This window comes from Homo sapiens, chromosome 15, assembly GCF_000001405.40.
Source record: "Homo sapiens chromosome 15, GRCh38.p14 Primary Assembly".
Taxonomy (NCBI): Eukaryota; Metazoa; Chordata; class Mammalia; order Primates; family Hominidae; genus Homo; species Homo sapiens.
Window position 1 is genome coordinate 96,770,590 of NC_000015.10, and position 20,482 is coordinate 96,791,071.

At 46.9% G+C, this 20,482-nt stretch overlaps 2 long non-coding RNA genes across 6 annotated transcripts; one reads left to right on the top strand and one right to left on the bottom strand.

Moving 5' to 3' along the window:
* Positions 1 to 1,415: 1,415 nt before the first annotated feature.
* Positions 1,416 to 12,748, bottom strand: SPATA8-AS1 (SPATA8 antisense RNA 1). 2 transcript variants are annotated; one of them, NR_102753.1, is made up of 4 exons: positions 12,587 to 12,748; positions 10,412 to 10,513; positions 2,157 to 2,256; positions 1,416 to 1,547 (listed from the first exon to the last, which is right to left on the bottom strand). It is a non-coding gene; the product is annotated as an SPATA8 antisense RNA 1 (long non-coding RNA). The 2 variants fall into 2 exon arrangements; NR_102754.1 differs by lacking the exons at positions 10,412 to 10,513; positions 12,587 to 12,748 and adding an exon at positions 11,033 to 11,065 and having other exon boundaries at positions 1,416 to 1,674.
* A 97-nt stretch (positions 12,749 to 12,845) lies between these two features.
* On the top strand, positions 12,846 to 15,026 carry SPATA8 (spermatogenesis associated 8). 4 transcript variants are annotated; one of them, NR_158222.1, is made up of 4 exons: positions 12,846 to 13,000; positions 13,156 to 13,241; positions 13,564 to 13,670; positions 14,407 to 15,026. It is a non-coding gene; the product is annotated as a spermatogenesis associated 8 (long non-coding RNA). The 4 variants fall into 4 exon arrangements; NR_158220.1 differs by lacking the exon at positions 13,156 to 13,241 and having other exon boundaries at positions 12,846 to 13,155; NR_158223.1 differs by lacking the exon at positions 13,156 to 13,241.
* The last annotated feature ends 5,456 nt before the right edge of the window (positions 15,027 to 20,482 follow it).

Below are 20,482 nucleotides of genomic sequence, written 5' to 3' on the forward strand. Positions count from 1 at the left end.
TACCTGCAAGATTCCTCTGCACAATAAAACTTGGTCTCCACGATCCTTTACCTTAACCTGAACATTCCTTTCCATTGATCCCAGGTCTTCAGACAAACTCAACCAATTGTCAACCAGAAAATATTTAAATTTACCTATAGCCTAGAAGCCCCTGCTTTGAGTTGTCCCAACTTTCTGAACCAAACCAATGTATTTCTTAAATGTATTTGACTGATGTCTCATGCCTCCTTAAAAATATATAAAACCCAGCTGTACCCTGACCACCTTGGTCACATGTTCTTAGGACCTCCTGAGGGCTGTGTCATGGGCCATGGTTACTCCTATTTGGTTCAGAATAAATCTCTTCAACTATTTTATGGAGTTTGGCCATTTTTGTCAACAGGGCAATGTGAGAATAGAAGGCAAGGGACAGGGCACCGTTTTGCCACCCTAGAGGCAACTGGTTCAACCAGGATCACCCTCCTTCAAAAACCATGTGGAAATCTCATTTTCCCACTTTCTCACATGCCCCAGCCTCTGCCTCTACCACTGCCATCACTTGCCATGAGAAGAATGACATCTAAAGGGGAGTTCCCTGTTCATCATCCTGACCATCTGGCTCTTTATTCTCCAACTGGGAATAGAAAGAAGTTACCCACTGTGACCTTCTCGAACCCCACTGTGATTTGCAAATTCCCATAGGATGACTCCTTAAAGGACACTCTGCTCCCTGACTGACTCCAGCCTCCTTTCCCACAGTCCGCCCTTCCCTTCTCAACAGTGACATTCTCAGTGGGGGAAAACAAATTCTCAATTGAATTTGAGTTCTCAACACTACTAGGAGTTCAATATAAGATAAAGCTCAATAAATATTTGCCAAGTAAAGTGATTTTCATCAATGAATTTAGATAAAGAGTTCTCAAGTGTTTTCATGTATCTATTAAGTAAGTCAGCAGAAAGCCAACTAAAGCATGAAGGAAGGATAAGAAAATCTGAAGACAAAGGAGAGAAACGAGTAGATGAGCACTGGGACTGGTGTTTTTTTTGTTTTGTTTTGTTTTGTTTTGTTGTTGTTTTTTTTTTTAGGACATGAACCCTAAAGCTGGAGCAGTTTCTCTAAAAGTCTGAGACTGCTGTGGGTTTTCTACAACTCTGTGCCTGCACTGCTCTGGGACCTACAATGGAACGTGTCTCCTACAATAAACAGATCAAGACCAATTCCAGGTACCAGCTGAAGGAAAATCTGGGCCTAGCTTTTACACTTGGTCCTAGGGCTTTGACCTGAATTATGATGCAGGTTTTTTTGTGGTTCCCCTCTCTCTCACCCATATCTTCTCATGAAGAAACCTGGTTCAAGCTACAGTTGAAGCCCTCTGAAGTTGAGTTTACCATCAAACCGTAGTTTAGTAAAATTCCTGAGAAAGCAGATACCTTCGTGTGATTTACTCAGTAGATGTTTACTGAAAAGGGAAGAAGGTTGTATTCCAGGCTTTATGGTGGATGATGGCAAAGCAAACATAACAAGCTTCTATTGTGAAGAGCTCTTCTTTGTGGCCATTGTATCAAGGCTAAAAAGTCAAGGAGAAACAGTCCCCAGCACTTCAGTGCTCTTGTTTTGAAGACTTGGTGAATACAGCAAAGCATCTTCTAACTTCAACTGTCTCCCCTCCCTCCCTGCTGCCACCGGAAGAGGTTCTGTTGGGATGAGCACAGAGGCTTGGCTCTCCGCTCCAGAGCACAGGATTAGGACCTCACACCAGGCCAAAGGCCAGTGATTGCAAATGAAGCAAGCACCTCACTCCCTCACTGTACTAAGATGAGACAAGTTCCTGAGTTCAAGAGCACTTTACTGGATGGTGTCTAGTGGATACCAGACACCTCCTCCTGCCTTAAGTAGGGCAAGGGGCAATGATGGGGACCTAGACTTTGGATAGTACCCAAAAGAATTTTAAGAGTCTTCAGCTCTGAGTTAGAATAACTTATTTCAAAAGCTGAAGAGAGAAATTTTCCGGGGATATTTCAGTGGCCCCAGGCGATTCATACTTTTTACTCCTTTGCTTCCTTGTGTACCAGGAGCCTGCCTGGAGGTGGGGTTTGTGATGATTGTGGGGCACATTTCAGCCTTTTGGGCATCTTTCTGGCCTCCACCCCAAAGGTCAGAACCCCTTCTCTCTTACCTGTATCTTTCAACGCTTCCCTCATTTGCCTTTTCTTTGCATTCCCTCATCCTGCTCCTTTCTGAGTGCTTTCCTCTGTGGTTTTGTCTTTGTGCAGGAGCTGTGAATGTGTGGGGAGAAGCATGAGCATGCTAGGGACAGATGGTGGGCTCACTGGGACAGAATATTATGGCTAAAGTCCCGCTTCTGCCCTTTGCCCTCTCTGAATCCCTCCAGGTCTGTGACATGGACACCTCTGTTTCTGCCTTCTGCTGGCATTCTCTATCTGTTGCTTGCCTCCAATCCCCTCATCACTGCTCTGCACTCTGGATTTTCTCCTAGGGGAAGCAACCAGTTCTTTTGTTATTTTTCTGCTGCTGTCACTCTTTGTTAGTTTATTTCTATGCCTTGTTCTTTTTATGTATCTCTTTGTATCTTTCTATATAGCTATCTCTCTCCCTACCCTGCAGATTCTCTTTCCCTAGTAGGGACATTGTGGCTCATCCATTTGACTTTTTCTTTCATAGGAAGAACAGGACACTGGGATGGCTACGGCAGGGTTAGAAGGCAGGGGTGGAGTTGGACATCAGCAAGCAGCTTCCGGGCTGGGGGACCTTGTGCCCTGGAGGTGGTGTTTCATTCCTCAGGTCCGTTCTGGCCTTGCCTTTTCCTTGATCACTCTTTTTTCACTTTTCCAGTAGCCACCATTTGGTTAACAGACATGAAAACAAACCTTCTGACACTCGCCCCACTGGCTGTCTGTCTTCTTCTAGCTGGGAACTCTGATAATGGGGTTTCCCTCTCCAACTGTGGACCCCATTATTAGAATCACATCCAGAAAGGCTGACTCAGTCCAGGGAGTATCTACACTGTCAGCAAGCTTCTTCCCAGGAACTTCTTAAGCCCAACCCCAGCCATTCACAGACTAGAGGCTTCAAGGATTTTTTCCATTTGCCATCCAAGAAATTGACTCCCTATGTTAGCTTACAAACTCAACGTCACCTCTAATGTCTTGGAAGCTTCTGGACGCGATTTTACAAGATTGCTTTTTAGAGGAAAAGACATGGTTTCTCATTCATTTTTGAATCCCCAAGACTTATTAGAGTATATGCCTTGCACTTGAGCTTCCATGGATGTGTTTTGAATAACATTAACATATTAATGTCCAGTTCCTAACGTGTTTTATGGATATGAGTGACAATGCAATATCCAAGAGTCCTGGGGGCAGAAATGGTAAAGAATCCAGGATGTAAAGGTCTGGACAAGAGTGGGGAGAGAACAGAAATATAAATCCATGAGTTCTAGAAGGAATTGGGTATTAGCTTGTCAGGTAAGGCATAGCTTCAGTGTGTCAGAACATCTGCAATGGAGGAATCCTAATAGATCTCAGGCAAGTGGAAATCAGTGAGTTAGTGGCGGCAGGAATTCCCAGACTACACTTTCCCAAGCAGGTGTAGCCAAAACTACAGATCAAGACAAGTCCTTTGAGCCCTTAATGAAAAAAATAAAAGATACATATTAAATTTATAGATTAAAAAAATGCTTGTGAAAAAGAACAGAGTCCGCAAATGCTCATTTCAAAACAGGCATTCTCATTTGCAACACAAAGTCCTATTAGGAAAGAGATGTGGGTTTCCCAGGGAACTCAGGGCTCAGCATGAGTAAAGTCTCCTGACACAAGAATCAGTCCTAATGAGTCGTCTGGGAATGAATTGGGAGTGATCAAAGCCAAGAAACAGGAAGATGGGGAGTAATCCCAAGGAAAGAGAATAATGAGATAAAAAGGGTGATGACTGGTTCAGACCACCAGAGCAAGGCACTCTTATTTTTTTTGGAGATGGTCTCACTCTGTCACCCAGTCTGGAGTGCAGTGGCGCAATCTCAGCTCACTGCAACCCCCACCTCCCAGGTTTAAGCAATTCCCCTGCCTCAGCCTCCCGAGTAGCTGGGACTATAGGCGCACGCCACCACGCCCAACTCTCTCTCTCTATATATATGTATATATGTATATATATAAATGTATATATGTGTATATATGTATATATGTATATATGTGTGTATATGTATATATATGTGTATATGTATATATATTTATGTGTGTGTGTATATATATATATATATTTTTTTCATATTTTAGTAGAGACAGGGTTTCACCATGTTGCCCAGTCTGGTACTGAACTCCTGAGCTCAAGCAATCCGCCCACCTTGGCCTCCCAATGTGCTAGGCAAGGCATTCTTAACAGCCAGATTTTGCCTTGTCTTTCTAAAAGAATCTTTAATAATAGGTCATTTGATAATTTCCTATAGCATAAAAATGAGGTTATGCTCAAGCTTTTGTTAGAAAGCCATTCTTCCTCCTACCTTGGGGCAGGCAGTTCACCCTCCTTCCTGTATGGATATACATCCCTTCCAGGAGTGAAAAAAACTCAAAGTTTGGCCCTGATTGTTATTGTTCTTCCTGGGGACAATAGGGCCCCTTTAGTTTTGGGAGTGCCTATTTTGAAGGGAGAGTTTGTGGGCTTGGGTCAATCTAAATTCTCTTCAATGCCGAATCTGGGATATGGCTTGGCTTAGAACCAGATAGGGATGAAGACCTCAAGGGAACAGCCTGGAGGATGGAAGCCTAGTAGCTGGCCTCACAAGGACTTGAATTCCTTTAACCACTAGCCTCTCCCCTAACCACAGCCCTCTCTCTGCCGCACCCCCTTGCCTCCAACCTACACACACTCCAAAGTGCAAGCTGTCAGAGGGCTAACTGGGAGCAAGTCCCAGCCCCTCCCTTTGGCAAAACGCCCTATTTTCCTTTCCTCTCCTCTTAGGCAGCCTTATCGAAGCTCATTCTACATGGAGTTCCTCTCCCTCAGAAACTTATGCTGAAGATCAGAAGAGGGAACAGGCAAGTCAGACAGTGACCTGTTTCCGAGTGCCTCTGACCATCATGGTCTTTCATTTCCATCACAGTTCTCTTTCCAGAGCAAGACTGGACCAAGGTATGCATTCCTGGACAAAGGTTCCTGGATCCCCATGCCCTTGACCCAGCTCTGACTCCCCAGACCCCACATCCCCCTTCTATTCCCTTTCCCTCCCCCGCTTCCTTCCCCTCCTGTCCTGTCCCTTCCCCTAACCTCCCCTGCACTCCATGTCTGTTTTCTTCAGGACTCTGCTGCTCTTCTCTGCTCTTGCTTTCCATACTTTGCCTTGCTGCAGGACATCCTGCATATCCTTCAAGAGCAGGATGCAGGATGCGTCTGTGTTGGTCTACGTTAAAAATTTTAATTGTCTACAGCATGACAAGATAGGTACCATGAAGAAAGAAAGGCCTATGGACGTTCCAGGGAGGGCAAAGGAACCTCCTTCACCAGATCTGTTGTTTGAGTTTAACCTCATTAGCCAGATTGTTCTCATTGCCGCCTTCCTTCCTTGCTGGTGTTCTCATTGCCGCCTTCCTTCCTTCCTGGAAGGCTCCACAGACAGGAAAGGGATAGTCCATGAGGGACAAATTCCTGATCCATCACTTCCCTTCTCTTGGTTTTCTACTCTCCACCTGGAAATAGCAGAGTTCCTGATCCAAGCACTGTATTTCAGTCACCCAAGACCACAATCTTGGAAACCTCTGCGCCCCCGGGGAGTGAGAGCCTGTTTCATTGCCATGTGCTACTCTGAGGACAGGCCAAATATCTCCAAAGGCATTTCCATTAAAGAGATTGCCAGGCCTTGCAGTCTTTTACTATGGCTGCCTTGATGACTCTAGGGTTCTCTCCTAGGCATCAGGGCATAGGGGACATTATATTGCATTTAACATGGGACCACAGGATTACACACTTGATTGTATGCCCCCTTCAGACTGGGAGCTTACTGCAGGCAGAAGGTTCTCACAGGGCAAGGACGCAGATCCTTCTCTGACTTAGCAGATTCATCAATGGGATGTGCAGGCTATCCTAGAGGAATAAGTCTCTCGAAGTCAGCTGGAGTCAAAGGCCACCGATGAAGGAAAAGCCTGTCAGAACCAGACTAGTCCTGGGCCCTAGACTATAGGTTAGGGTATCTTGCTTATTTAATTATTGTGATTTGGACATTCCTGAGAAGTCTTCTGCTTCTCTGAATTCCCATTTGCAGTCTTAGCATTTTAGGATGTTCTCCTTCTAAGAGAGTTCTGCCTGGGACCCGCTTAGAAGGTTTCTCGAGGCTGCCTGGGCTTTGGAAGGGGATGAAGTGAGAAACATTCTGGGTTGGGCTTTCGCGGAAGTCAGAAAATCAGCTGACCATGACTAACTACCCACTTTCTGAAAAGTAGCCAGCCCCTGACCCTGCATCTTTTTCATTTTGTTAAGAAATGTTCACTACTAAGCTTAAACTTTCTTTGGGGAAGAAACTCATCCACATGCCATTGGCTTTCTGCTTTTGAGAAAGTTTAAGGCTCTTTGGAAAGGAGAGACCAGATAAGAGGAGGAAGGACTAAAGGGTAGAAGGAGGGGGACTTCCCAAACAAGCACAGAACAGTCCACCAGACCCATCCAGGCTGGGGGTGAGCTGTGACCAAAGCTGTCCAGAGCCTGCAGGGCAGGGCTGTGGGTCCCTGGCTGCCAACGGGCAGCTAATGAGGGCAGCAGCAGGAATTGGGTCTCTAAAGGCCGAGCACTCGTCATGCCCAGCCAGGCCTCTGCTCTTGCGCTTCTTCCTCTCTTCTCTTCAGTCTTCTTAGTTAATTTGGGCCCTACACCTGGCCAGAAGGTAGCAAGACAATTGGTAGCCAAGGAGATGAGCCATTCTAGATAAAGCAAGTGACTTACATCTCTGAATCACAGAGAATACTGGTGGTTCTGTCCCAGGAGAGACCTGTCTATCCCTTGTCCTTCCTCCACTGAAAATCTCTAATGACTCAATTTCTGTCTCTTTAAACCATGAAATTCAGAGGAATTTGACTCTTCCCCTGGAAGACAGCCAGCAGAAGGCTCACTATGCCCAACGATTTCATATTTTGGTCTCTGTACTTCTCTCTGCTCCCCCTGTGGCTGTGGCTCTCTGCCCCTCTGGGTGCCTTGTTTCCACCTTTACTGTCTCTAATTTTGTCTCTGATCATATCTTCCCCACCACTGTTTTTGTTCTCTCTCTTTCTCAGGAGGCTTTATCTCCCTCTGTCTCAGTTCACAAATGTAACCTCATAACCTCTGTCTCTGTCTCTCCAGGGTCCCGAGGTCTCTAGGCATTTAAGTCAGATGAAAATGCCCTCCTTTGGCATTCCTTCTTTGTAAAGAATGTGTTGGGGCTCCACAAAGAGTGACAGCAGAGAGGGTTCTGGCCACATCACTCTTATCCATCCTCAAAGCTGAAGGGAGGACACCTTCTCTCCTCCCCATGCCATATCTAAAAAATTGCAATGAAACACACACATTACAAAATTTACCATTTAATCATACCTCAGACCTGGCTTTCTAATCACAAGGAAGCAACATGTGAATGATACCCTTGAATGATACCGTAGCCTCACCCCAACTCTTCTTGGCCCCCTTCAGGAGCCCCTGAGACTCCATTTGGCCATCATCTGGGCTGTCTCATCTTCTTAAGAGCAGCCCCCCACCCTCTGCTGTTCAATTGGGAACACAAAAGGAGGCAGCTTCCAGACACAAGCCCAGCCCCTATAGCACTGACCTCCCCAGAACCTGGATCTTGGGGGCTTCCCTGCTCCCCCTCCCCTAGTCCTATGCTGGTCGCGGGAAGCATCTGACGCTTGTTCCTGATAAGCCCATATGACACCCTCAGAACCCTTAAGAGATGGAGTGTCCAGAATTTCAGGGCACTCTCCACATTGGACATGTAGCCCCGAAGATTTCTCCTGGTCCTTAAAATGCCAGTACGGCATAAAGGCAGACAATGGGACTTTAGTCACCCAAAGTAGCGTCTCCTTTAAGACCATGAGACCTTGATGGGCAGAGGCCTACTCACTCCTTGCCACCCCTAAAATATTTTCTAATTGAAGTTGTTTTCTAGTGACATTTTAGCTATCTTTACAATCTAAAGTTATTTTAGTTCCCTATGAGGTACAATGGAAGAGATAGCCTACGATATCTGAAGTCTAAGGAAGGCCCCAGCAAGCATCAACAATACCCCCCTCCTCATGAGGACCGTATCTTTCCCCAGGATGCAGTGAGCAACTTGAAGTTAGGGACTATGTGCCACTCACTATTTTATGTCTCGTATCAAGGCCAAGTTAATAGCTGTTCAGTGAACAATACATGTGTGAATGGAGACATGACTGTGGAGAGTGGTGGAATGAGAAAGGAAAAGAAAGCAGGCCAGCATTGTTTGTTTCGGTGCCGTGTACTCAGGCAAGTCATGAGTGGCAACTTCTGTGAGACTTTGGCTTGGGGTCCGAGATGACCTGAAAGTGGCAGGTCACTCACGGGTCAAATACTCAAAGCAGCTGATCCAGAGCAAACCACTTTGGGAGCCAAGCTGAAGAGCAGCCCTCAGCCTAACCTCGTGGAGCAGGCTGCTGCTGCTTGCCTCTTGAACTGTAATCCCAGCACTGGGATTTGACCATTTTTCAGGCGCCCCAGATCTCATCCTGAGACCCCTCTTTTTACAGCCACAACTGCCGCAGGGGAGCTTGGACCATCTCTCAGCTCTGGTCTCTTTGGAGGGCCCTTTCATTGGCAGAGCTCTCTGGGCAAGAGGAGCTGGGGAGCCTCACTCCAGTTGAGGGGTCCTCTGGGTCCAGGACCAGCCCTCCTCCCTATCTGTGGGGTCTAGGGGTGCAGAGAGGGCCATGGGGTGGCAGTGACTCTCAATGGCAGGGCTTCCTGGGGACTGGCTTCGGGTGCATATCACGCAACTGCTTATCCATGTAGTTTCTGGGCACAGAGCAGCCCAGTCCCTCCCCAGACGAAGGGCCACTCCTTTCCCAGCCCACCTGCCGGGGGCTGAGCTAGGGTCCCTTGCGTCCTCCTCATAACTGAACTTCCCAGGGCTGTCTGCGTCCCAGGGAAGGATGAGGGGGATCCAGGACCCATGTCCCCACCCCTCAGCCCCAAACAGTCCTTTCTCTCCTTGACATCAACTATGCAGCCACGTTCCTCTCAGTGGGAAACAGACTGTAGTTAAGATGCAGATCTTTTTGAAAGAAAAAAGAAAAAAGGTATGGGGCTGCAAGCATCGACTCCTCAGAGTCAGCTGTGCCCGGTCAGGCAGGGCAGCTGCTGGAGGGCCTCCTTTGACAGTAGGGGGAGGCTCCAAGAACCCTTCCCAGAGACACCTGGATAGGGCTGGAAGGTGGGAGAGAGGCTCAAAAACACGTGCCCTGTTGCCTGTACGGGCTCGGGACTGGCCCAGGACAGGGGCCAGTTGTCAGGCACTCCTAGTAAACTAGGGATGAGCTTTGCCCCAAGGGAAGTGGGCACCTGGGGCACCCTCAGCCCATGGCTTCTTGACTTGGCCACTTCTGTTTCTCTTCATCTGCATTCTATCCCCAAGAGAGGCATGTCCCCAGAGTTAGGGGCAGAGGGAGGAAGCACAGACCACATCCCTGAAGCCTTCAGGCTCAATCCTCTTTGGGTGAGGTCCAGCCAGTCACCTCTTCCTGCGCTGTTAGCCTTGTCCTGACCTCACTCTGACTCTGGTTTCCTAAGGGACACTGTGTTCTTCCTCTCCTCTCCTTCCTTCTTTTCTTGACACAATGAGGTTTTTCATCCTGACTCTTTTCTTTGCTCTTGCTATGCTCTCTCTCTTTCTTCAGATATAATCTCAGCATTTACTTTTCTGTTTCTGCCCATCTGTCTCTCCTGAGTTGGGAGTCCTGTGGGTATTTAAGACTGATCAAATAGCCCTCTGTTTGGATGCACTCCCCAGCAGTGATAGCCCAATACAGGGGCAGCAGGGAGCAGGGGGGCTGTCACTCCAGCTGAGTCATCTTCCTCCTTTCTCCTCCCCAGGCCTGGCTTTCTGGTGGCAAGGAAGCACCACCTTGGTGATACTCCAGTGTCACTCCACCTCTTCGCGGCCCCCTCCAGGAACCGCCTCCCCCGCCAGCCAAGACTCCATTGACCATCATCTGGGCTGTCCCCATCTTCTTGGGACCTGCCCCTGGGCCTCTGCCCTTCAAATGGGGACACCAAGGACACAGCTTCCAGCCACAAGCCCAGCCCTTGTAGCACTGACATCCCAAAAATCTGGATCCTGGGGGCTTCCCTGCTCCCCCTCCCCAAGTCCTGTGCTGGTCTGAGGAAACCTCTGAACCATGTCCCTTATAAGTCCATATGGCCATCAGAACCCCTTCAAACCTGAGGTCTCCAGCATTTGGGAGCATTTTCAATGGCTGTCTTGGAGACCGTTCCTGCTGTATCCTAACTTGCCAGGTAGTTTTCTTTTCCCCGACATCGGTGCTGCTCAAGGGAAGGACCCCGATTAATAGGTGTGAGTATGTTTTGGTTTTAAACTATACATTCCCAAGTAGGCAAAGAACTTTCTGGTTTCCAACTTTCTATCTGCCTGGTGAGAGGCAACAAATATTATCATTGACTCCCCTGGAGGATTTTTTGATGTTAACTTTCTCCCAGTAGCTGTATTTACCCATGAGAGCAGGGACTAAAGGGTATGTCTACCTGAGCCATCCGCCTGCATCCTGTATTTCTCTCTTCATTCTCAGCATGTCAGTCTGCCCTTTCTCACTGCCCAGCAAGGTACTTGAATGCAGGAACTTTGTCTCATTCATTTTTGTATCCCCTCTGCCCAGCAAAGCTCAACAAATATTTGATAAAGCAATGAGCTTACAGATGGGTGAATTCCTGAACAAATATCAGACGAGAGTGACAATAGGGAAATGCAAAGGGAAGTGAGTGGTGTGGTGTCCTGGCCAGGATGCCAGGATGCCTGGCATTTGGGTCTGTTGAACTCTGATTTACCTAGAAAGGTTTTAATGGACCTTCCCCACAAAATCCTTTTCTGCAGGCTCTCTACATGTGTGAACATGATCCAACAGCAACACCACAGTTAGATGCTCCAGAGCCCTGCCTGAAGAGAAATCCTACATCCATCTCCTGCTTAGTAGGGGAGCACTGAGCAACGTTGGGAGCCATTTATTTCCTTCCTTGGGATCACACTTCTTCCCCAGATGTCTGATTCTGGTTTTCATCTGCAGTGATGGCCTTCATCTTCTCCCAGGGCACTGGGCCCTGAGATAGCAGAGCTGGCCAGCAGGAGGACTATGTGAGGGCTTCTCTGGGTCCAAAGGGAGTTCCCCCACCCCCGGGGGTTGGAGGAAGGAAAAGTGGAGGTGCTCCTGCTAGGGTTTTGGGAGCAGCCTCACGGGGGCTCTTGTGGAGGTGGGCATGCCTTGGCACCCCCCTCTCCTGGCTATTCTGTGCTGTACCCACAAGGCTTCAAGCACCTCCCCAGAGGAGGCAGCCCGATCTTCTCCACCTGGGAGCCATTTCTGAGTCTCCCTCACACCTGAGCTTCCATGGACAGGAGACCTCGGCTAGAGTCTGAGGAGTCTGGGAAGATCTCAAGCCTGTCCCCTTCCCCTAGGCTACAGTACTGGATGCTCAGCCCTCCACCATTATGGGGGTGTTTCCTGGCCATTCAGCTGATCACTGTTAAGCTATCATTTCTCTCTGGAAAGGATGCCCAGACCCCATCCGTCTACTTCACCTTCCTGGGTTCCATTCCCTTGTTTCTGGGGCAAGGCTTTTGGGAGGGCTGGAGAGAGAGAGGATGAGGGGACAGGAGAAGGACACTTTGGGCTTTCTGTCCTCCTCCTGTCCTGCCTTAGCTGGCGCCCTTCACTCCCTGTCTCCTGCCTCTGACTGGAACGAGAAAATACCTTGCACATCCCAGGTCCACCCAGCCAACCCTGACTGGTCCAGTAAGCTGTTTCTTCTGCATTTCAGCCCTGGTTCCTGATTCTACCTCCCCCAGGTCTCTACCATTCCACTCTCAGCTTCCTCCTCCTTGCCACCCAATTCTTCTTGGCTTCCCATCACTTCCCCTCTCTTTTACCTCTCTGCCCCTGTCTCGCCAAAGGCTCTCTCCTGTCTGTGGTTCTACTTGATCTCCGTAACTTTTTCCTTCCCTCCATTCACCCTGGACATTTTGCCCTCATGATTTCTCCTTTCCTCTTGTGTATTTGTCTCTTGATGACCCATTTTCCTTTCAGAGAAACTGAGGCTCAGATAGGTCAGGGGTGATGGCCTACATGGGACAGCAGGACTTAGTAGACAAGGCCTTGCATCCTTGCGGCCCTGCTTTCTGTCTCATCCCTCTTCCCTTTTGTCTTGGTCAGCCGCCCAAAGGCTCCAGCTCTGCATCCAGCAGGGGAGCCCCTTGGGGGGTTCCAGAGTCCACAACTGCACACCCGTCACCTTCACCCACTGCCTTGTTGTAGCAAACCTGCAGCCACCCTGTATATTGTATATGTATATTTATCTATTTGTATATAGATATACAATTTCAAGAACCTACTAAAGGAGGAAGCCTCACTGCTATGCAGCCTGACAGGTTATCAAGTGGGCCTCTTTGAATCCCTTTTTGCTTCTAGGAGAGTTGGGAACCATGAGGTGCCCCCCTGCAGACCCCAGAGCTGCTGCCTTCCCCAGGTGTGCAGGAGGTTTGTAGGAGACGGGGCCCCTTGGCTGCCCAAGCTGCCACCCCTCCCCCACCCGCCCAGTGGCAGTTGCGTCCGTTGGGGCTTCTGGGGCAGCCCACAGGGTTCCGAGCATGTGCTGGCAGTTGCTCTTTGGAGCACCCACTTCACTTCTCCCATGTAGTTCCTGAGTGCAGGACTCTCCTGAAGAAGGGGCGTCTAAAAGGCCAGCCCATGCATCTTGTTCAGACCAGGCTGCTCCATCTCCGCTAAGCCCAGGGATCCACTTGTGTGTCTTTCTGGGATAATTGTCTTTAGTGGCAGCCTGGGCCTCGGGGAAGGAAGGGCATGAGGAATGGCCCCGGCTGGGATGTCAGGGGCCCAGGACAACTCCTGTCTCTACCAGGAAATTGCCCCCTCTTTTCAGAGGCTGCCTTGTCCTAGGTATCTGATGTCCTGCCCTTGGCAGTTTTCAACTCCAGATGTAGGTCTGACTCCTATTAGGCTACCATTTCTTTGTGGGAAGACAGGTATGAAATTGCAGCATTCCTAATTCTCTTAATGTGAATTGTCAGAGCCCCTTCAGACCGGTGGCTGGGGCCAGGCATGAGAGGCAGGTGGTAAGGGCAAGAGGAGCAGCCCCTGTGCACTTGGGGAGGCTGGAAGGGTTGGCGAAAGGAGCTGAAAACACCCTAGATTCCCCAAATGGCATGAAGAGATCCCAGCCCTGAGGCACCTCCCACTCAAGCCGGAGATGAGCTTTTCCCAAAATCCAACTCTATGAGGCTCTCACTCAATGTGGGCTCCTGATGCTGAGGGGACATCCTGACACCCCTGTGTTCTCTTCTGCAGAACCTCGTCGCGACATTTCTCAGAAGCCATGACATGTCCCTGCGGCTGGAGGCCTTTCAAGGGTGGCCCAGGAGGCCTCAAGGGCCCGGTGTGGCCTGCAAAGGAAGGTAAGTAGGTGGCAGGGCTGAGTCTGTGCCTCAAAAGCCAACACTCCAGTTTCTTGACTTCCTCCCTTCTCCATTTCCTGAACCTGGATGGGTGCTGCCGGGGATGGTGGGAGGGATGAGACGGAGGACCCCATTCATTTGTTAGGAGATCCAGAGTTCAGCCTCTCCAGTGCCTTGGCTGCCCCCTTCCTCACTCCCAAGTGCTGCTCGTGCATATTTACTCATTGCTCCCTTTTCCTGAGATGGTGCGTATTCTCCTTTAAGAAGTGTAAACCAGACGAGTCTCTTCGGTGATAGCTCAAGGCATAGTCAGCTGCCCACTACTGAGCCTCCTCCCTTCCTTCAGCCTCTGCCCTCTCCAAGCTCACTCTGGCCTTTCTTATCCTAGGTAGGCTCCTGTCCTTTGTCTCTATTTTTGCCTTTGATCACAACTTCTCTCCTGTTGTCCCTTTGGAATGGCAGCATCATTCTGCAGCTTCTCGGTCAGCATGGGTTATGGGTTTGTGCCAACAGCGATGCATGCTGTCCCCAGAGTGGCTGGATGGGCCTTGGACAATCACTCACGTACCCAAATGTGTTCTCCAGATAACCTTTCCTCTGTGTATACGAAGAGAGAACGTTTAGGGAGCACTGTTCTCCTTCTCACCCATTCTCTCTGTTTTCCTCTCCATCATCTGGGATGTCTTTCTCTGTGTGCCATTCTGCCTCTAATTATCCTCTTTTTCTTTGTTTACAGAGAACAGCTGTTCTCACGGAAGGATCCAAAGGGTTCAAAGGCGAAGGGTGCCATCTGCTTCCCCACTGATTCAGAAGATAAACAGGAGAAGTGTCCTGTTTCACCCATATTGCTGGTCCTGATTTTTCAATAGTGTCCCTACCCTGAAGCTCTTCCATTGGTCATCATGGAGTTAGCTAACAGCCCAGGGAACTGGTCTCTTTTCCCTTTTCCCTTACCACCTGGAACTCACCTGGAAAGGGCAATCAGCTGGCTCTATATCAGACGCCACCACCTGGTCTTTGAAGTTTCTGTCCTACCAGTGCCACAGCTCCCTCTCCCACTTCTGAACTACCTCCAAGAGAGACCATCCTCAGCAGCCTAGTATGTTATGCTAGTCCTGGAATGGTGTATTCTGGATGTCTACTCAAGGCCAAACCCCAGTATTGCCTTTCGTTTCCCTATTCAAGGCCAAGGCTAGATTCTCTTCATTGTCTCCATTTCTCTTTCTCCAGAGCTCCTATAGGGCAAGACACTGTTTCTCATATATTTCTGGATCCTTGGAGCTTAGCTCGGAGCTTGGCATACATGCCCAGCATGAACTTTTCTGAATAAAATAATTTCAAATGCTGTATACAGGATACTGTTTGGTTTTTTTTTTTTTTGTTTGTTTGTTTTTTTTCTGAAATTAGAACTAAAAGCAGCTGAAAGCAAGCTTGGGGGCCATCCTGGCATGCTCAGGGAGAAAAATGAGGGGGATGAGGGCCATGAGACAGGCATGCGTGTGTTCAGAAGGGGATTTAAGGACCAGTGTGCCTACTGGGGCAGAGTTAAGACTCAGCACACACAAGGCTGATCTTGAGGGCACTTCATGAATTTCAGATTCAGGGACTATTATAGACCTTGAAGCAACCTATCATGAGTGGTAGTTGTTGCAACAACACTGGAAAAAGAGACATTTCATCATACTGTGATCCAAGAGGGATTTCATTCTCTGCCTAGGTAAGACTCTAGGAATTGTTGTGGGAATAGAACTGAGATTTGAAATATTTATCCACCTACTGTCTCTATTCACCTTTAGGCTCTACTATTCCATTTCCATTTTGTTCACAGAGATATATGGGCCAGGTTTCTAGTTACAGATTCAAAAGCTAATATCTTAAAATCTCTTTCTGAATCTCCAACTGACAAGTTTCCTGGTAAGATAAAAAATGTGAGTGAATTAGCTTCTGCAGTCAAAAATTCTGTGTGTCTGTATCCTGGTGCAGGGACATGCACACAAGTGTGTGGTTTAAGCTTGTATGTGCCAGTGTGCTGGATTCAATGCACTCTACACAACTGTGGCCACAATGTTGCTACTCTGTTGCCTCTCCCACTAGAGATTCTTTACAATGGTGATGGCTAAACAGAGTATGATGTTGAAAAAGATGTCAACATCAAGACCAGGGAGAGACAAAAACAACATAGAGATCAATGAGCAGTAACTGACATGGAGGGCCACTGAGGCCTGTGGAGTCTGTGTCTTCCATATCTCCGTATCTTCCCTGTTGTATCCCTCTTCTCTATTCTCACTGTCAGTGTTTGGACTGAGACTAACAGCTCTTCTGTAGCCTTCTAAACCTACTCCCCCATCACTCTCCACACTTTCCCCAGATTGCCCTTTCTCAAACTTGCATATGACGAAATGCCTTACAAGCTGCAAGCCGCCTGGGACTCTCCACTGCTCCTGCTCACTGCCATGCCAGTCCTTGTTTTGTCTCCTAATTATCCTTCAGGTCCAGCTCAAGTCTTCCCTTTCTTGTAGGAATGATTAGCTTTATGTGTCATTTGGGCTAGACTATATTACCTAGTTATTCAATTGAACGTGGATCTACATGTTGCCAAGAGGGTATTTTGCAGATGTGTTTATATAATAAGTTGAACTTTGATAAAGATTATGTTGGATAATCTGGGAGGACTTCATCCAATTGAGACAGAGTAGAGATGGGGCTTCCTTCAGCTCATCACCACTAGAGCATTCTCCCATGCATTCCCACTGATCACAAAACCCACATCACTACCTCACTGCTAAGAATTCCAGGAACTGGCCTTAGGAGATAACCAAGGTTGTGGAGTGTCCCACCTTTGGAAAGAATGCTGAACAATTGATTTACAGCCTTGTTGCTGCTGGCAAGACCACCAGGTTGCCCAATATTTAAGGTAACCATAATAACCAGATAATGCCAACTTGCATACCCCACCCGCCGCCTCCCACCGGCTTTGCCCAGTCCAACCTACACACCCTACCCCTGATGTCAGTTCCCATGCTTGCTTAAAAAGAAAGTCCAACTGGCACTTTTCAGAGAGTTGGGGGAATTTATCTCCCTCTCTCTTTGCTGCCCTCGTTATGTCTGGGCATAAGCTCTAATAAAGTAAAAAAACAAATAGTCATTTAGGAGTTATATATACCAAGTGCTTGATAAATCCAGATGATGCCTTTTTCAATTTTGCAAATGACAGCATATCAATTAGGTTTTCCAGAAAATACAGAACCAGTAAGGTATATAAATGATAGATAGGTAGATGGATAAATTAGATAGATAGATAGATAGATAGATAGATAGATAGATAGATAGATAGATAGATGATAGGTAGAAGATAGATGGGGTTTTATTTCAAATAATTGGCTTACACAGTTGTGGGGTTTGGCTAGGTAAATCTTAAAATTGTGGGACACGCCGACAGGCTAAAAACTCTAGACAGGAGCCGATGCTGGAGAATTGGGGTAGAATTTCTCTTTCTTCAAAAAAAAACCTCATTTTGCTCTTAAGGCCATTCAACTGAATGTGTTACTAACCAGGGGTTCTTGGACTCTCAATGCAATATGACACTCTCTACATCATACCTTCTAAATTAATATTTGCAGTGATGGCAGAGCAAGCATGGATTTTGTGGGTCTTAGTCTACAAAGTCAGTGGTACCAGAAGTATCAAGTGATTTTCTTTCCACTTCCCTCTGAGTATCTCTGCACTAGAAAGGCAGGACATTTTGTCTCAGTCACAACAGGAGTTGTCCCCTTCTCAGAGGTGTGCAAGGATTTCTGGATCTCAGGGAGCCCTAAAATATTGGAAGGACCCCTCAGGCCATTTGTCTCAGGAGACTGGCATAGTTTCTCCAATGCTTATATTCCAACACACATGGCCCCATGGTGCCTTGGATGCAGAAGTGCTGCTGACTTTCTGTCATGTCTGGGGCTGTCCCTGTGGCCTGGGGTCCAGACTCCCTGGTGAACCACACAGCTTGCCCTCTCTGTGGGCTCCTCACCTCTACAAACACCAAGCTGGCTCCAGCTTGCATGTAGGATCCACCGACATTTTCTGCTTAATTGTCTAGGTGGAGTTTCTTTCTCCTTTAAACCAGTTAAGATAATCCTTCTCTTTCCTTTTTTGGAACAAGGAAGCATCATCCCTTTTAGAAGTCTAAGCTTAAGCTTTTACAAAAGTCAAAAGAGCTACTGATTTTAAGTAGGTCACTGCAACAATCCCTGCAGCAAGAAACCCCAAAGAACCTGAAAGATCAAGCACAAATTGCTTAATAAACTGTGGCCATATACATGATTATTCATCTATCTTCCCACTAAAACATCCCTAAGACATTTTAGAATAATAGCTATAAAGATGGTAGTGAGATCAAGTGAACTTTTCTCTCCACGTATTTGCCCATATTTTATACATGTTTTATATTAAACAGATATTGTTTTGGTAATGTGAGAAACTATCATAAGAAGAATGCAGTCAGAGGTCAAAAGCAAGTGGTAGAGTCCAAAGACTCTACAAATTCCAGCTTTGCTACTTACTTGCTTGATGACTTCTCAACCTCAGTTTGCTGAACTGTAAAAGTGAGATAATACCAAACTTTTGTTTTTTGAATCAAATGAGCCAATGTGTATCAAGTTCTTGGTGTAGCCCAGTACCTAGTATATCTTTAGTACATAGTCACAGCTCTTATCCCTGCTGGACTGTGAGTTCGAGGGCAGGACTGGATCTCTTTTCTCCTTTATCTTCATCATGGAAGATAGTCAAAAGTTATTCGTTAAATGAATGAACGAATGAAAAATTTATTTAATCCCAGATCTGTTATTCCAAAAGTTAGATTATTTCTCGATACTGAACATATTCACCTAAAGTCCCTTTTGGGGTCTGCATGTGTATATGTTTTTTAAACAGACTGGCTTTTGTGTGTGTGACAAAATGCCTGGAGAGCCTTTGACCCACAGAAGATGTTTCATGCCACCTGTCATAAGCCCAAATGTATCAGTCCATTCTCATACTGCTAATAAGACATACCCGAGACTGGACAATTTATAAAGAGAAGAGTTTTAATTGACTCACAGTTCAGCATGGCTGAGAGGCCTCAGGAAACTTAAAATCATGGTGGAAGGGGAAGCAAATATGTTCTCCTTCACATGGCATCAGGAGAGAAAAGAAATGAGAGAATGAGTGCCGACAGAAGTGAGAAGACCCTCATAAAACCATCAGATCTCATGAAAATGCACTCACTATCAGGAGAACAGCATCAGGGGAACCTCACTCATGATTCAATTACTTCCCACCAGGTTCCTCCCAGGACACGTGGGGACAATGGGATTACAATTCAAGATGAGATGTGGGTGGGGACACAAAACCAAATCATATCACCAACCACACACATGTTCCACTTTTGCCCTTAAGTTTTTATGACTTTCTAATTATCTCAGCACACATATCATACCTCTGTTTATAACTCTGACTCCATGGCAAGGTTACTCCCATATTAACCATGGCTTTTCTACTTGAGATTTGATGTCAGTATTGACGAGGGAATGAGAGATCACAATCAAAAGATTGAAAAGTGACCAAAACCGAAAACACACCACCACGCAGTGTTCCCAAGTCCCACCTGGATGGTCCATTCAGCCTGGAAAAAGCATATGCTCTGCTCTAAATTTTTTGAAAATGTGTATTATTTACCTATTGCTGCATAAGAAATTAGTACAAATGTAGCAGCTTAAGAAGGTAGATATTTAATACCTCACCATTACTGTTGAGCAGGAATCTGGGCATGACTTATCTGGGTCCTCTGGCTCAGGGTCTCTGGTGCCACAGTGAAGGTGTTGGCAGGGCTGGAGTATCTTCTGAGACTCGACTGTGAAAGAATCCACCTTCAAGCTCATGTGTCATGGGCAGGATTCACTTCCTTACCGAGGGCTGTTGGCTGGAGGCCACCTTCAGTTCCTTGTCACATGGGCTTCTCCATAAAGAGGTTTACTTCCTCAGAGCCTGCTCAGGGAGAGTCAATAGAGTTTGCAAGCAAAATGAGCAAGAGGAAAGTTACAGCCTCATGTAACATTATCCCAAAATTAATATCCCATCATCTGTGCCATATTCTAAGGCTTAGAAACAAATCACAGAACCACTCAAGGGGAGGGGATTACATAAAGGCACGAACACCAGGAAGTAGGGATTCTTGAGAAGGCCACCTACGAGCCTACCAACCACAGAGCCCAAAGGGGATGATTGTAAATTTGTGTTTGGTCAAAACCAGTCCATCATAACTCACATTCTGATCATAGCCAAGTCATAAGGAAGTGACAAGATCAGCCATAAGTAACTCGTCACCACCTTGTGCTGGGAGAATGTTGCTGAGAATACTGTTGTTGTCACTATTCAGTGCTCCTAGATGAGATTCCATGGAACAACCACTTTGAACTTGACTTTGAAGGGAAAAATTCAACTTCCCTTGAGAACTGGAAGTTTTAATTTTTCTCCTAAGATTAATAACCATGATTCCCTTTTAGCCTAGTTAAGCCTGGAGGCTTAACTATTATAACTGTAACTCTTCTATTTTCTATTTCACATTTGTTTGTTGACCCTCGCTCTTCCCTTTCTTGCACATGTGTTATTTTAATTTGTATTTTATAGTCATGTCATTACATATACTCTTATTGGAAGCCACCTAAATGGGGTAGGGTATAAATTAAGGGGGACTGAGGTTGGGTGGGTTTCGACCTCAACATTTAGTGTGGTCAACACAGAGTAGAGGTGAATTCCTGAACCTCTGTCTGCACATTGAGTAAAAT